The sequence below is a fragment of the Homo sapiens genome, chromosome 1 (genome assembly GCF_000001405.40).
Source record: "Homo sapiens chromosome 1, GRCh38.p14 Primary Assembly".
NCBI classification, from domain to species: Eukaryota; Metazoa; Chordata; class Mammalia; order Primates; family Hominidae; genus Homo; species Homo sapiens.
In genome coordinates, this window is record NC_000001.11 from 115,970,073 (window position 1) to 115,987,028 (window position 16,956).

At 40.4% G+C, this 16,956-nt stretch overlaps 1 protein-coding gene and 1 long non-coding RNA gene across 21 annotated transcripts in view, besides 2 other annotated features; one reads left to right on the forward strand and one right to left on the reverse strand.

Annotated features, from left to right (window-relative positions):
- The window catches only part of LOC101928977 (uncharacterized), a 54,704-nt gene extending 47,500 nt beyond the window's left edge, over positions 1–7,204 (reverse strand). The window contains exon 1 of the long non-coding RNA NR_125970.1: positions 7,025–7,204. This is a non-coding gene — a long non-coding RNA (uncharacterized LOC101928977). The remainder of the gene's footprint in view (positions 1–7,024) is intronic.
- Positions 6,288–6,517: a silencer, noted in NCBI's record as "silent region_1224". NCBI's record gives its function as "represses an Ori minimal core promoter by ATAC-STARR-seq in GM12878 lymphoblastoid cells {active_cell/tissue: GM12878}" and the evidence as "EXISTENCE:reporter gene assay evidence [ECO:0000049][PMID:35858748]".
- The window catches only part of SLC22A15 (solute carrier family 22 member 15), a 93,542-nt gene continuing 83,026 nt past the window's right edge, over positions 6,441–16,956 (forward strand). For 19 of the 20 annotated variants that reach the window (XR_002957027.2, XR_002957032.2, XR_007061934.1 and 16 more), the window contains exon 1: positions 6,441–6,642. Coding sequence is in view for 11 of the 20 variants with exons in the window: in NM_018420.3 (NP_060890.2) it covers positions 6,556–6,642 (87 nt within the window). In the remaining 9 variants the exon portion in view is untranslated. Of the gene's footprint in view, positions 6,643–13,467; positions 13,759–16,956 lie in introns of all 20 variants that reach the window. The other variant, XM_047424416.1, reaches the window with a different exon arrangement.
- Positions 6,578–6,827: a silencer, noted in NCBI's record as "silent region_1225". NCBI's record gives its function as "represses an Ori minimal core promoter by ATAC-STARR-seq in GM12878 lymphoblastoid cells {active_cell/tissue: GM12878}" and the evidence as "EXISTENCE:reporter gene assay evidence [ECO:0000049][PMID:35858748]".

The following is a 16,956-nucleotide window of genomic DNA, read 5'->3' on the forward strand; positions in this document are numbered from 1 at the left end:
TAAAACTCACATCACTCCGACTTAAAACACTTCAGTGGTTCCCATCACCTGTAGGAAAAAGTTCCAGCCCCTTCCTGGTCTCTGTCAATTCATCAGACGTCATTTCAGATTGCATTTTCTGTTCTCACAATCATCAATTACTTCTGGCATATAGATCCCAATACAAGGTAAATAAACACTGAATATGTAGAAGAGTTTTTGACCCACTTAAAAACATATATTTTTAGGGAGTAAGACGAACTAATCTAATATCTAATTAACACTTAATTTGTTAATTGTATGTCATATAAAATATTAATTTATATATTTTTTCACTCAAATGCATCATGATGTCAAAGAAAAATCCTCAAAAGTTAAAAACATGACTCTCTTACCAATATAGAATTAATCTATGTCAAAGCTTTTATTGCCTTCAATAATTGATGAGGGAACCAGCAGGATGATAAACTGGTTCTAAGAGCATTTGAAGAAATTATTATTTACACACAAAAAAGAATGCTAGAACAGGATTGTTAGATTAGATACAAAACCCGTTAATGTCCCACAGGGTAATGAAATCATAGATTATCCTTCTAACTGAAGATAATCACTTACATCTCTACCACATACTAAAAAAATCTGTAAGTTGACAACTCACTGCACAGTGCCTGAGCTCTTATTAATAGAGTAAATAGTAAAGTCAAATGCAGGAGCATTCTCCTACAGCATTAAATAATCCTGGGGGCAGATCTGTTAAACAATGCTCCATTACTGCATTAAAAAACACACCCACGGCTGGGCACAGTGGCTCACGCCTGTAATCCCAGCACTTTGGGAGGCCGAGGCAGGCGCATCACCTGAGGTCAGGAGTTTGAGACCAGCCTGGTCAACATGGTCTCTACTAAAAATAAAAAATTAGCCAGGCATGGTGGCATGTGCCTGTAATCCCAGCTACTTGGGAGGTTGAGGCATGAGAATCGCTTGAACCTGGGAGGCGGAGGTTGCAGTGAGCCAAGATGGCACCACTGCACTCCAGCCTGGGTGACAGACCGAGACTCCATCTCAAGAAAACAAACAAACAAACAAACAAAAAACCACACCCACCTCTTCTTGCTGTCTTATTATTTCCAAGTTTAGGATAATTTTGCTTAACAATGAAAGTAAAACTTCACATGAATCTTCTACATCAGTGTTTTTGGCATCATGATCGTCTCTTCTTGGGTCAACTAACAAAGTTTTCCAGAACACAACATCTTTAGGTCCTTCTAAGTTTTCTCAGATACAGTACCCTTGGGATCTTGTGTACGTTTTTATCCACTTTGAAAAGGAGATATATATCTTATATAATATAAACACTGTGGAAAAGTGCATAGTTCTGTGGATGTTAAAAATGTAGGAATAGCTATCAAAATAATAATAATCTGTAGCTCTTCAAAAAAGCAAAAGAGAGAAAGGCGGTATAAAAATAGCTTTAACAATCTAACAGTTGGCCATAAAGGAAAAAGAAGATGATAAACAGAAAACAAAATAAGTTGGTAGAAATAATTTCTGATATACCGCTCCCAATAAATACAAACGGATTTAACTCATCTATTACAAGACAAAGATGGCCGGGCGTGGTGGCTCACGCCTCTAATCCTAGCACTTTGGGAGGCCAAGGCAGGTGGATCATGAGGTCAGGAGATTGAGACCATCCTGGCCAACATGGTGAAACCCCGTCTCTATTAAAAATACAAACGTTAGCTGAGCGTGGTGGCGTGTGCCAGTAATTCCAGCTACTCAGGAGGCTGAGGCAGGAGAATCACTTGAACCAGGGAGTTGGAGGTTGCAGTAAGCCGAGATCGTGCCACTGCACTCCAGCCTGGTGACAGAGTGAGACTCGGTCTCAAAAAATAAATAAATAAATAAATAAATAAATAAATAAATTAAATAAATAAATAAATAAAATAAAAATAAATAAATAAAATAAATAAAAGATAGACACTATCAACCTGGATGGAAAAAAGAAGTCCTCCTTTCATAAACATGCTGCTATGGTCTGAATGTTAGTGTCTGTCTTAGTCTATCTGTGCTACTCTGACCGAATATCACTGACTTGGTCATTTATAAAGAAAATAAATTTGTTTATTACAGTTCTAGAGGCTGGGAAGCCTAAGATTAAGGTGCTAGCAGGTTTGTTGTCTGGTGAGGGCTGCACTGTCCAAAGAGGAGGAACATTATATCCTCACATGGCAGAAGGTGGAAGGGCAAACGGGACAAATTCCCTTGTCATGCCATTTTATAAGGGCACCTAATCCCATTTATGAGGGCAGAACCCTCATGAGTAATTTACTTCCCAAAGGCCACACTTCCCAATACTGTTGCATTGGAAATGTCTGAATTCTGGAGGGAAACATATTCAAACCATAGCATTCTGCCCCTGCCCCCTCACCCAAATTCATGTCCTTCTCACACAAAAATACATTTATTTCATGTCAATAGCCCCTAAAATCTTAGCTCATTCCAGCATCAACTTTATAAAGTCTAAAGTCCAGAGATATGGGAACCAATGCATGGTTCATCCTGAGGCAAATTCCTCCCCAGCTGTAAACTTGTGAAATCAAACAAGTTATGTGCTATCAAAACAATAGTGTACAGGCATAGGATAGACACTGCTATTCCAAAAGGGAGAAATAGGAAAGAAGAAAGGGGTAACAGGTCCTAAGTAAGTCTAAAACCCAACAGGGAAACCCTGTCTGGTTGCTTTGCTAGCAGCAGTCCCCACTTCACTTCTCACTGGCTAGGGTCACTGCACACCTCCCAATACTCTTGCATTGAGAACATCTGAATTTTGGAGGGGAAACATTCAAATGACAGCAGTGTCCCCCTAAATTAGTGTTGGAACCTAATACCAAATGTGATAGTATTAAAAAGTAGGGCCCTTGAGAAGTGATTAAATCATGAGGGCTCCATCCTCATGAATGGGATTAATGCTCCCATAAAAGACTCTGGAGAGCTCTCTTGTCCTCCTACTGTAAAGATGCGACAAGAAGGTGACATCTTTGAAGCAGAAAGCAGTCCTTCATCAGACACCAAATCTACCGGTGCCTTGATTTTAGACTGCCCAGCCTCCAGAACTGTGAGCAATAAATTTCTGTTGTTTATGAATTACCCAGTCTAAGGTATTTTGTTATAGGAGCCAAAATAGACTAAGACATATGCCTTAAGCAGAAAGAAACTTACAGGATGAACATAAAAAGACTATATAAGAATAAAAAGATTACAAGGAAAATACAAACAACAGAAAAGGTGATGCAACAATATTGATATGAGACAAAGTAAAAAAGACCAAAAGCACTAAAAAGAGCTATTTCATCACGATAAAAAAGATTCAACTAGTACCTTTATGAGCACACAGAGACAAAAAGAGAACTTGATAAACTCAAAAATGATATTAATTTTGGAAAATTTTGATATATTAAAAACTGATACATTCAGCACAGAAAAATTAAGTAATAATATAGACTACTTAAATAAAATTAGATCAACAAGTTTGATTAATAGTTAGAGAATCTTGCACACAACAAGTGGAGAATATATGTTATTTCAATACACGTGGAACATTGAAAAAAAAAAAAGGCTACGGGCTGGGCATGGTGACTTACACCTGTAATCCCAGCACTCTGAGAGGCTGAGGCGGGTGGATCACTTGAGGTCAGGAGTTTGAGATCAACTTGTGCAACATGGCAAAACCCCATTTCTACAAAAAATAAAAATGAGCCATGGTGGTGTCTGCCTATAGTTCTACCTACCTGGGAGGCTGAGGTGGAAGGATCACCTGAGCTGGGGAGATTAAGGCTGCAGTGAGATGTGATCAAGCCACTGCACTGCAGCCTGGGTGACAGAGAAAGATACTGTCAAAAAAAAAAAAAAAAGAATAAAAAGAGAAAAATCACATATTAGGTCACAAAAAATTAAAACAATTTCCAAGATTTAATATAATCTCTGTCTACAAAGCATATAAATTATAAACAACACTAAAAAGATGGTAAAAAAAATAGCAACCTTTAATTGGAAACAAAAAATGCACTAAAAATAGCTCATTGGTTAAAGAAGAAATGACAATGTCATGAAATATTTAAAAGTAAAGACAACAAAAGTACCACATGACAAAACTTGTCGGATGGAGCAAAGTCCTATAGAAAGGTAAGTACAACCTTAAATATAATTATTTTATTTATTTATTTATTTCTGAGACAGAGTCTTGCTCTGTTGCCCAGGTTGGAGTGTAATGGCACAATCTCAGCTCACTGCAACCTCCTTCTCCCAGGTTCAAGTGATTCTCCTGCCTCAGCCTCCTGAGTAGCTGGGACTATAGGCCTGTGCCACCACGTCCGGCTAATTTTTGTATTTTTAGTAGAGACGGAGTTTCACCATGTTTGCCAGGCTGGACTTGAACTCCTAACCTCAGGTGATCCACCAGCTTTGGCCTCCCAAAGTGCTGGGATTACAGGCGTGAGCCACTGAGCCCAGCCACACATAATTATTCTTCAAAAAGAAATATTAAAAGCAAAGAAGCTAAACTTCAAGTCATGTGGCTAGTAAAAGAATTACAAAGTAACAAAAGTAAAAAAAAAAAAAGGAAAGAATTCATATAATCAATGAAATAAAAAAATTCACAAAACTTTTTAAAAAATAATAAAGTAGACAAACCTCTGGCAAGACTGATAAGATTGGAACAATAAAGATGAACACTATTCAGAATGAAAAATGGGACATAAACAGTTAGACCCTTATTTTTAAAAATCCCAAGAAAACAATATGAACTAGTTTATTCCAAAAACAATTTCTAAACTAGATAAAATAGAAACATTTCTAGAAAAAAAGTGGTTCAAGAAGAAATGCAAAGACATACGAATATATCTAGTTATACACACCTATTTATCTTTACCCATTATCTATAAATCTGTAATAAAGAGGCTCCCCCTGCAAAACAAGCTAAGTCTAGATGGTTGCAGGAGAGTTTTACCAAACACTCACACTCATGTTATGAAAGCACTATAAAATCTTACTGCCAAATCTAGACATAAGCATCAGGAAGAAAAGAAAATTATAGGCCTAGTTCGCTAGTCACAGATGTAAAGTCCCTAGACAAAACACTAGCAAATTAAATTTGGCAATAAATAGCAATATCGTGAGCAAGTATTAATAGGATTTATTCCAGTAAAGTTCAATATCAAAAAAACTATTACCATAATGTACCCGATTATCAGATTCAAGAAGAAAAACAATAGGATCATGTCAATAAATGCAAAAAGCACTTATTAAACTTCAGCATTTATTAATAATGAGGATTCGTAGGAAACAGCCAAAGAAGGAAACTTTTTAAACTATTAATAGTACTTATACAGAAAACGTTTCCTTAAGTAAGAGAGAGAAAAAAATCTTAAGAGTTTATAGAGTTTACAGTTTCCAACCCACTGATAAATTCAATTACAGTGAGCATTCATTTAATTGCTAAAAAAAGAAAGCAGCTGACCAGTAAAGCCTAGCTACCAATACGCTGCAACAGACATCACAATTAACGGAAAATTTTGGAAGCATAAGAAGGATACTGGCAGGTCAAGGACACTAGCTGGTCGCCATTTCTATTCAATGTTAAACTAGAAGTCATGGTCTAGACAATGGAATACTATGCAGCTGTTAAAAAGACAACACATAATAAACAAAAAGGCAAATGAGGTTAGGAGGTGGAGGCATGAGGGGACTAACGCAGGTGTCCAGCGTCCCTTGGCCCTGCCACGCTTTTTTTTTTTAATTTCCACCTGACAAACTGCCGTTTATCCTTTAAATACCTTGGCAGCCATCACATCCTGCCCCTTCGTCTTTTGCACTTCCTTTGTACCTCGTGCATACTTCTATAAGCAAATGTATCCGACGGTTTTACAAGAATTTGCTTGCCTACCAGTGTACTTAACCCATGGCTAGCACAGAATAGGACTGGAAAGAAATGCTGCACAGACAGCACTTTTCTCTGAAGGCTCTAGGGCTCCCCAAGCCCCCGCATTAAACTGGTTTGGGCAAAACGACAGGCATTGCTGAGAGCCGCCAGGCCGCCCGCCAGCTGCGGGTCCCCTGTAGGCAGAGCCCTGGGTCACACGCGGACGCGGTCCCGATGTTTCTTCTCAGGCCCTCAGCCCGGCCCACTTCCTCTTTCCTCACTTTAAGGCGCAGACAGCGGTCCCTCTCAAAACAAAACGTACACCAAAACACCATTTTTTTTTTAAACAGGAAGTCCAGAGGCCCGGGTCCAGGGCATCCAGCCCCGGATCTCGAACGCCCTCCTCGCCCCTCGCCCCGCGTAGCCCGGCTGCGCTCCCCGCTCCCCGCCCGGCGTCCACCTCTCGAGCCTGACAGCCCCGCCGCCCGCGCAGGCGCCCCGCCCCGGCCCGGCCCGCCCCGGCCCCGCCGCCAGCGCTTCCATCCCCGCCCCGGCGGGTCCAAGCCGGTGCCGGGCGCCCAGGGGTTGCCGCGCTGGGCGGGAGGGCAGCGCCTGAGAGGGCGGTGGGGTGGCGGGGTTCCTGCGCGCGGCCCGCCATGGAGGTGGAGGAGGCGTTCCAGGCGGTGGGGGAGATGGGCATCTACCAGATGTACTTGTGCTTCCTGCTGGCCGTGCTGCTGCAGGTAAGTCCCCGCGGCCCCGCAGCCGCATTTCCCTCTTCAGGGCCGCCCGGCGCAGGGCTAGGCGTCCGCTCCCAGACCGCCGGGGCCGGGGCCGAGGCCGAGGCTCTGCAAACACCGAGGTGTGGCGAGCGTCGGGGTGGGGCAGGGGCGAGGCGCCGCGCGGTGGCCTGGGCCCGGCCGGCAGCGTCAAGGTCGCCGGCCGGCCTCAGAGCCTCTTGGGTTCTGCTGGGCCCTCCACCCCGCCACCTTGAGTGGTGGAAGGAGCGTGTTGGGGGAGGTTTCTCAGCCGCTATGCTGGTTAAGGAGGGATGCAAAATTGTGTTACCTGCCCTACGCTGTTGCCTATAACACGCTGCAAATATGAAGGGAATTGTTACCCTACCTGTGGCACTGTCACCTTGGAATCTAGGACACAGTCTTGATAATCTGCAGACAAAAGGTTGTGTCTAGGATCGCCTCCCTCTGCGCCGGGTGTCCTCTGCCTCTTTTCCTGGGCTTGAGGGGGCTTACTCTTCTAGGGGCTTTCAAAGCATAGGATTTATTTCCCTCTGGTTTAAGTTCTGCTGGCTCATTCGGCCCTGCGCCAGCCTTGGGCTGAGACTCCCGTGAGCCGAATAGTGCCATCTACCATGTGTGGTTATCAAATGGAATCACTTCTTCATTATAAAGAATTCTCAGAACCTACTTGTACACCCCAGCCTCAAAATATCGATTCCATATGCGAAAGGTCACTACAGATTAACTGCGCCAGGCAAGGATTAGTCCTTCACCAACTTAAATGGCTCATTTGACATTAGTCGCTTCTCTCAATATGCCAGAGGCATTTCATTCACAAATCCTTTCTTAGTATTTGCTGTGAGCCAGCCATTTTACTCTTTCCTTCAGTCATCAGGTTTAATACGGGCTAGGATGTGCTGAACATAGGGATGCCATGGTGGACAAATCATTGACTGCCCTCAGGAGCTTGCATTCCAGTGGCTGCGGGTGGGGCAGGCAGACAGTTAAGTAATTTAGTTAGCATGTGATGATAGTTATTCTGCAGGAAGTACAGAGTGGTCATGGATATAGCCACCAGTCCACAAGTTGCTTAAAGCTTGCATAAGACAGTGGCTCAACAGGAAGATGGGGGAAGGTAGGGGTTGACTTATTGATTAAAATGTTTGGAAGTTCAGTTGATTTCATCATCAGCCAGAAACGGTTCAAATGATGGAGTCAGTTCTTTTTCTAGCCGAACAGTTCTCAGCTCACGAATATGTGGTATTCTGAAGTTCTTTTAAGCTCGTTGTTTTAGCTTTAAACAAGCTTTCCCCAGGGAGAAAAAACGTTCAAGCTAAATGATAAGAGTATTTAATACCGAGAAAGAAGAATTGCAACCATGATGCCTGATCTTTATTTATAACAGTTTCTTTGAGAAAACCCTTTTTTTCTGTTCCAGCCATGAATTCCAGGAACATACATCCTTTCTTGAACAATCCCAGCTCCCCATCCCTCTATCCCTACCCTTCACTTCCTGTTATCATTTTCTTATTTGCCTAGCCAAGTATCCACTAACTTGGAGTAAGTTTGTCTTCAGTAGAGTGAGGTTCTAAAAAGGCCAGTGTTCTCGGTTTAGGACCTGTTAAGTTTCTCTAACTTACTTTTATTTATGGTTGACCCAGTTAGTTAGAGTTTGCTATCAAAAAGTTCCAAGCCCATGCCTATGACCGTTCACTAAACCTTGGATGATTTATGGTCAGTATTTGCGGTACAAGGACCAGGTCTTAGAGTGTTGGGGATGAGTGACTGATTGTTTATCTTATAGATGTGGGTGGGAAGATGCCCTGTAGCTGTGCTTATACCAGTGGAGGAGATGCCAGCCTAGGCAAAAGTGAATCCTTCACATGCTACGTGTTTTTAAGGACTCAGTTACCCCATTGAGATACATGATCCAGGGGGTTGTAGAGCCACCCAGAGCTACCCTGGGTATGAGAGTGGATATCCCCAAAGACCTCTCTACCAAGTCTGTTGTTGGAGATGTTTTGTATTACGGCAGCTGGTCTGTGGAGTGGGAGTACTGTGGAGTCCCATTGCTCAGTTGTATCACAGGTGATTTCATCATTCTTGGGGATGAGGTTTTGCTTCCCCCAGCAGAGTAAGAAGCCCTTTTTACACAGTTGCCTTAAATGAAAGGGGGTTTTTCTGCTTTTAAAATCAAAGGAGTTTTCGTACCATTGCCCAAGGAAGGGGCAGACCAACAACACAGCAACAAGGCCAGAGAGAGGGAGCCTCTGCTTCAGTGGGAGCCTTCTCCCCATCTGCGATTTGATAATGATTAACCCCAGCTGAGAGGCACAAAACCAGAAGGACAGAGGTGGAAATTTTACAGGCCTTTTAACATTTTCCTTCTTCTGGGACCATTATTATTATTTTTAAAAATGATTTTCCCTTTACCCCAAACACATCTATGTTCAAACTAAGAGGACAAAACCACATAGCAAAGCCAATTCTAAAGGGTTTTTGGTTAACTGTTTTCTTGAATTATTGGTACCATCATGTAGATCATCAAAAGTTACTTCACTATCCAGTTTCCTTTGGCTAGGAGACTTGCCCTCATACTCCTTGCAAACACAATTTTTGGAATCTCAATAGCATTCAACTTTGAGATAACTAAAGAACAGATGCAGATTTTGCAGATTTTTCCTCAGCGTAAGATGCAAATGCCCTGAAAATGGTGATATGTGGTATTAATGTACATAAACAAAAAGTGAAGGGAAAAAGATTGCCTATGTAAAAATGGTTGACTTATGAATAAACAATAAGCTTTACAGTTAGAAACATTCTTACCATCAAAATGTACTTGCTCTCCCTAGGATCAGAGCTATCTGCGATATTTAAATAGGAATAATTCTATTTAGCATATTACTGTTTCTCTTCTGATGGTGATTCCGAGTTGCTGCCATCGTCACTATTTTGTGTTTGTGTATGTGTTTGCTTGTTGTCTAGGCTCTCTGGAGGAGGAGGGTTGGAATACAATTCATTGTTTCTTGATTCCTTTAGACATGCAATGAAAATGGACGTTACTTCTTTGTTCTAAGCCAGAGGCTCCTGCTTTGTCATTTTCCTCAAAATCATGAATCGTACATTATATTATAATTTGCACAGAATTTAAAGCCCCCATTTACTATCAGGAACATGTAATCTATAACAAGCATTCACCAGCAAAATTGTGATGCTGTGCTATGAATCTCATCTTAGATTCTGGTGTTCAGGAATGCATTATTTTTATATATATATTAAGTATATATATATACTTAATAACCTTATTTTTTAGATCCTGGAATGACCAGTGCATTAATATTATCCATGCAATAAATAGCTTTTCTCAGCATTTTAGAAAGTAGAATGATTGCAGAAGAGGAAACTGTAATAGTCAACACACGAAAAGATGTTTTAACTTCAGTGGTCATCTGGGACAGGCATATTAAAATGGATATGAAATACCATTTCACACTTGCTATATTAGCAAACATTAAACAATCTAACAGTACAAGTGTGATGAAATGATAAATAGAAACTATACCCCATTTAGAGAACAATTTGGCACCATCTAGTAGAATTAAAACCTAGCATTGAACTCCTAGGTACACATCCCACATTGTCCCTTGAGCACGTGCATAGGGAGATATGTGTAAGATGTTTACTGCAACACTGTCTATTATAACAAAAGTTAGAACCACCTGACTTTCAAAACAAGACTGGATAAGATGTGGTATAAATTTAATAGAATACAACGTCTGAAATAAATGAACTAGATCTATATATGACTATATGGAGGAATTTCTAAAACACAATGTTAAGTGAAAAAAAAGCAGAACAGTGTATACTATGTGACACATATTCTTAATACAAATTTTAAAAACACACAAACCAATGCTATATTTGTTTCATAAATATATATAAACAGTATAGAAATATAAGAACATGGAGTAGAAAGATCCACACCCAATTCATGAGATTGGTTGCCTCTTGGGAAGGAAGGGAAGGGGTGGGCTTAGGGGAGGGTACAAAGGAGATTGCATCTGTTATCATTTGTTAATTGTGATAGTAGTTTCATGAATCTTATTTTTTGCTTTTCCATATTAAATATTTTTAAGTGAAAAGATGGTAAAGGGAAGAAGATATGCATATCTAAGAGAGAATACTATAGTTTGCTGTATGAGAATAATGGTTCATTCTTTTTTAAAAATCAATATTCCTTTGATCAATTATGGCTGTGAATTGTGGTCCTTTAAACACAGGAGGGTGGGGTAGAGTGAGTTTTATTCAGCCTGTTTTGTTAAACTTCATGTAGAATGCTATCACAGCTTACCTTCCCTATCTGCTTATACGTGGCACCATGTCCCTCCACAGGAAATTCTTAGGTCTGATGAGATATGGCTGAGATCATAGCTGGTTCTTCTAACCTCCCTGGCATAAGCAAGTGATGAAGTTCACACCATAAGCATTAGTGAAGCTCTTGTTCAGTTATAAAAGACTAACTGTCATCCCCAGGATGTTCTCACCATCACTGAGGCTTCAGCCATGATGAGAACCTATGGTCTTACTAAGACCCTTTCATGAGTCCAAAACATGTGGCCATTTACCAGGGCTCTCTGTCAGTTTGAGCAAGTTTTATGCAGCTCCTACTGTCAAATTTTATTTCAATTAGCCCTCACACAGTGGCCTGGAGGTTGGGTCTCCTGAGGGTTTATGGTGATCTGGGAACTTTTGCCTTTCACCAGTTTAGGTGGGTGGGGCAAAGAGACAAACACAGTGGTTTGGTCAAAGAAACCAAACCCACACTGGCCCCCACACCCTCAGGAAAACTGTTGTTGTCCATAGACAGACACTGCCCCCTAGTGTAAAGCAGATAAAGTTGTTGATCTATTAGACAGATTTTCCTCCAGGGAGGCTGTAGAGATACAGGAGGCCTCCAGAAGGGTTAAGGAGCTCCTTTGAGCCTGGATGTCTCAAGAATTAGGACATTCCATGGAAAGCAACTAGACTGATACCTCTGCAGCACCCAAACCCCCAGCCGAATGCCTTCCAAGGCCATCCCTGGCTGTTTGACTTGTGCCTTGACAGTGAAGGTATTATCTTCCAAGATAGCACAAAAATAGTCATTAAAGTCACGAGGACAGGCAATGTGAATATGGCAGAAAGAACACTAGGCTTGAATGTTGTGCTACTCTGCTGCAAGATGGCATTATTAGGCAATTGTTATTAGGCAAATGACCCATCAGTCTCTACTGTGCACTTGGAAATGGCTGGATCACGAAAGTTTAATTTGTTTTGCAAGTTTAGGATTTCTCAGAGTTTCCCAATGCCCAACAATTAATTGGCCTTGGGGCAGTGTTGACCCTAGGTTTCAGAATACCAGCTTGGTTCATAACCACAATTAGAGGTTGCCTTAGAAGAAAAAGACTCTCAAATCCAAAGATGCACACAGCTCGGGACTCTCCTCTCTGACTTCTTTGACCAAACACTCATGCAAATTGATATCTGCCTTCATGGGACATCATATAGTACTCAACAAATGGCATATGGTGATTGTAGAAAAAAGAGAAAATATAGAAATTAATACAAATCACTAGTGATTCTACCACCCTAAAGTAAAGCATGCTCACATTTTGGTGTATAGCCTTCCAGACTCTTTATTATATAAATATTGTATATCCATCTTTTTTGCAGAAATGTGTATCATAACTGCATTTTGTCTCTCAGCAATGTTGTGAATGCGTTGCTATGCATGTAAAGGAACAACTACATATTTTTTAGTGGCTGTAGCATGGTATTTCAATATATGGCCATAGTATAATTTGCTATTCAGTTCTCTTGTGTTGCATATGTTATGCTTCCTCTTTTTCAAGTTCACAAACCCACGCAGCCCATGGTATTGGTTCTTTCTTCTGTTCTGACCTTTACTTCTTGCCAGTTGATTGTTTATCAGTCTTCTCAAGCCCAGACTTCTCCTGATTCCATTCATATAGTTCTACCTAGATGCTTTTTGTCCCAACTTCATGGATAAAATAGAGGTTAGCTGGTGTAAATTTTCTAAACATCGTTTCCTTTTACTTCAAAAGTTTTTTTCATCCTCACCTATCTTAAATACCTTCTCTGTTAGGGAACATGTCCAAGAGGAAGACATGTTTCTGCCCTCTTGCTAGGGATATCTTTTCACTTTTGTTTTTGATTCTATGTAATCCATCAGTTATTTCTAATCCTATCTCTTTCTGCATTCTCTGCAGAATAGCCTGCATGGTAGATATATGGAAATTGTATTAAATAGCATTAACTCTTAATAAGTGATAGAGTTATGCCCTTCTGGAGCCTTCTTTAGTTGTGTTTATCTAAGGAGAAAGTCTCATTTGGTGTTAGCACTTCTAAAAACATTTCCAAATATTTCTGTTTTAACAAAGGGAATGAGCTAGCATGAAAGAATTAGAGGAGCTTCAGTAGAAAACATTATCTAGTTGGAACTTAATATTATTCTGTTTTATTGTATTTATTCATTTTCTTTTAAAACTTCTTTTAAAATTATGAGACATTTCTGATGGAAAAATACAGAGAGTAATATGACAAACGCACATGTACTTGCTTCCAGATTTAATAAATGCAGATATTTTGCCTTATTTGTTTAATGTTGTGTCAGTCATAGTTCTACTGGAGAAGCAGGACCCCTAGGATGGAGATGTGTGTGTGTGTGTGCACGCGCACATGTGTGTGTATGTGTGTTTATGTAAGATTATATATGTATAATCGATGCATCATTCATTATGGAGATTTGACTGTATACTGTTGCGGGAGCTCGTTCAGCAGGCCCTGTAAGGCTGTTGTCTTCGTGTGTGATGTTGGAGCTTGAAGTCTGCAGGACAGGCAGTCGAGAAGGGAAGATATGATCTGGAGCCCATCAGAAGTGACTGGAATCTGTGTCATTCTCCCTGCCTCCAACCTTGATGAAGTGGCTGCCTTTCATCATAGAATTAAACATGTACCTGGGCAAGGAGTCAGAGCAGCTGAAGGAGGATCCATGGGAAGGTGGAGTGGTTGCAGCCTCGTGACTGTGCCACGCCAATGAGGTGGACCAGCACATAAGTGGTAAGCTATGTGAGGCACTAAGGCACCTGCCCCAACCTGGGCATAAAATGCAAAAACAGCTGCTCTTTCACTTTCACCCCTCTCCCAAATCTAGCCTGAAAATGTCTCCTGTGGCCCACCTTAAATAAAAACATACTAGCTAACACTTGGCATTCTAACATTGTGCATATTTTTGTAGTTCCACCTGCCAAGTGATGTCTGAATTGATATAAAATTCTATTTTATGTTAATTTACTAAAATTAAAACATTTGAATTGATTTTAAAGAAGACTATTGAGTAAATACTAGCAGACAGAAAATGGGCATGTGAAAACTAGCAAGGGGTACTCAGATGACTGAAGTTAGGGAAAAGCTGAGCTAGCCATATAATTCTTCCCAGTTATGTAAAGATATATTCTTTACTTTCCTGACTCTGATTGGGCTATTGCTTTACCAAATAATTTCTTTTCCTGAGTTTTGTTTTCATTAACTCCTTAGCAGCCTTTACTACCTGCTCAAGTATCATATTAACAACCTTTTCCTGATTCTCCTAGGTGGAATTCACATCTCCATTCTTTGTGCTCTCATGAACTTCATTCCCAGTATGGCTAATATAGCATTCATCACAATCCACCTTGTATTTACAGCTTTGGATATACAGTCATGCCCCACATAACAATGTTTCTGTCAATAATCACATATGCGACACTGGGCCCATAAGATCATAATGGAGCTGAAAAATTCCTATTGCCTAGTATTTCCTGTGCTATATTTTTAATTGTTATTTTAGAGTGTACTCCTTCTACTTGCAAAAAAAAGTTAACTGTAAACCAGCCTCAGGCAGATTCTTCGGGAGACAGTCCAGAAGAAGGCATGGTGTGATAGGAGATGAGGGTTCCATGTCTTCAGGATGTTGTTTTCCTGAAGACCTTCCATTGGGACAAGATGTGGAGGCAGAGACAGTGGTATTGATCCTGACTCTGTGTAGGTCTAGGCTAATGTGTGTGTGTCTTAGGTTTTAACAAATAAGTTCAAAAAATTTTTAAAAATAGAAAAAAGCTTATAGAATAAGGATATAAAGAAAGAAAATATTTTTGTACAGCTATATAATGTGTTTGTGTTTTTAGCTCTGTTACTACAAAAGAGTCAAAGAGTTAAAACATTTTAAGTTTAAAAAGTAGAAAAGCTACAGTAAGTTTAATTATTATTGGAGAAATAATTAAAAAAATAAATTTAGCCTAACTGTACATTGTTTACAAAGTCTACTGTAGTGTCCTAGGCCTTCACATCCATTCACTCCTCATTCAGTGACTCACGCAGGGCAACTTCCAGTCCCGCAGGCTCCGTTCATGGTAAGTGTCCTTTACAGGTGTACCATTTAAAAAATCTTTTATTGTATATTTTCTATGTTAGGTATGTTTAGAAATACAGATACTCACCATTGTGTTGTAGTTACCAACAATATTCAGTATAGTAACATGCCTTACAGATTTGTAGCCTAGGAGGAATAGGCTATGCCATATAGCCTAGGTGTATGGGAGGTTATAGATCTAGGTTTGTGTAAGTGCACTCTGACGTTTGCACAATGATGGACTCGCCTAAGGACACATTTCTCAGAACGTTTCCCAGTTGTTGAGTGATGCATGACATATGACTGTTTGTTGTCCTCATTTGAATGCATGTGCCTTGAAGGAAAAGACTACTTTTTATCCATTTTATCATCTGAGGTGCATAATATAATGTGTTGCAAAGTTTTGGTGCTTGTTACAATTTTGTTTTTTTTTTAAAATTAAACCATTGAAGAAGAAGGGATGGTCAGCTGGTGGTGTTACCATTTTACTTGAAAAAGAGAGAGAAGGCCGGGCGCGGTGGCTCATGCCTGTAATCCCAGCACTTTGGCAGGCCGAGACAGGTGGATCACAATGTCAGGAGTTCAAGACCAGCCTGGCCAAGATGGTGAAACCCTGTCTCTACTAAAAATACAAAAATTAGCTGGGTGTGGTGGCGGGTGCCTGTAATCCCAGCTACTCGGGAGGCTGAGGCAGAGAATTGCTTGAACCCGGGAGGCAGAGGTTACAGTGAGCTGAGATCGCGCCACTGTACTCCAGCCTGCGTGACAGAGCGAGACTCCATCTCAAAAAAAAAAAAAAAAAAGAGAGAGAAACAGATGCGATTAAATACTTTGTTCAGAATTTTTTTTAAATTTATTTTTAAATCGAGGTGGAGTCTCACTATGTTGCCCAGGCTGGTCTTGAACTCCTGGACTCAAGTGATCCTCCTGCCTTGGCTCCCTAAAATGCTGGGATTATAGGCATGAGCCACCACACCTGGCCTAGTCTTAATTAGTGATTGGAGCAAAAATTAGCTAACAGAGTTACTAGTTTTTTTTTCATCTTTTTTTTTGGTTATACCATTATGCAAGGAGTTAGTTAAAAAATGTATTTGATAGACTATACATATTTGATATATATATGAGATAGACTTTTATGTATATAGCAGTGTGTTGGGTTCTTTAGAGGGAAATAGCAGTATAAATTAGGGTTTCTTTCCTTCAGGAGGTGACAAATCATTGAAAATTAGAGTTGAACTATTATCTACACATTATATAATGATACAAAGCAATATTTCCCCCGTAAATAATACAGCCAACTAATGCTTTGGAAATTAAGAAGGGAGACGGTGTGGTCTAGAGTGATTTGTTGAAGCCGTCAGAGAGATATCTGAGCTTGAGCTGAACTTTGAAGCTTGGATTTAGGGAGAAATGGGAAGGTCATTTCAGGTAGAAAAACATAAAACTGGAATAAGTGTGGAAGAGGGAATAACTTATGCCCTTGCTACACAGAGTATGGTTGTTGGTTGTTGCAGCTTATTGGAAATGCAGACTCTTACCCCCACCCCAGACTTAGGGAGTCACATTAAATTTGGGAAGCACTAATATATGCTATTTGTACAGTGCTATGCAATTCACTGTTGACTATGGAGGAATCCCACTTGACACTGAAGATGGGTTAATATGATATTAATGACTTGGATAAAGATGTACCATTAGCGTCTGGTCTTAACTGGAAGAAAACGAAACAGAGAGGTTTGGATTTGCTCAAGGTTTAATTAGAGCTGAGGTTCAGACTTGGATAACAGATTCCACTGCTTTCACACCACACAGTGAATAAGTCATGTTAGGGGAATTGAATAGGCTGGTAGAGGAAGCTTGAATGCAGA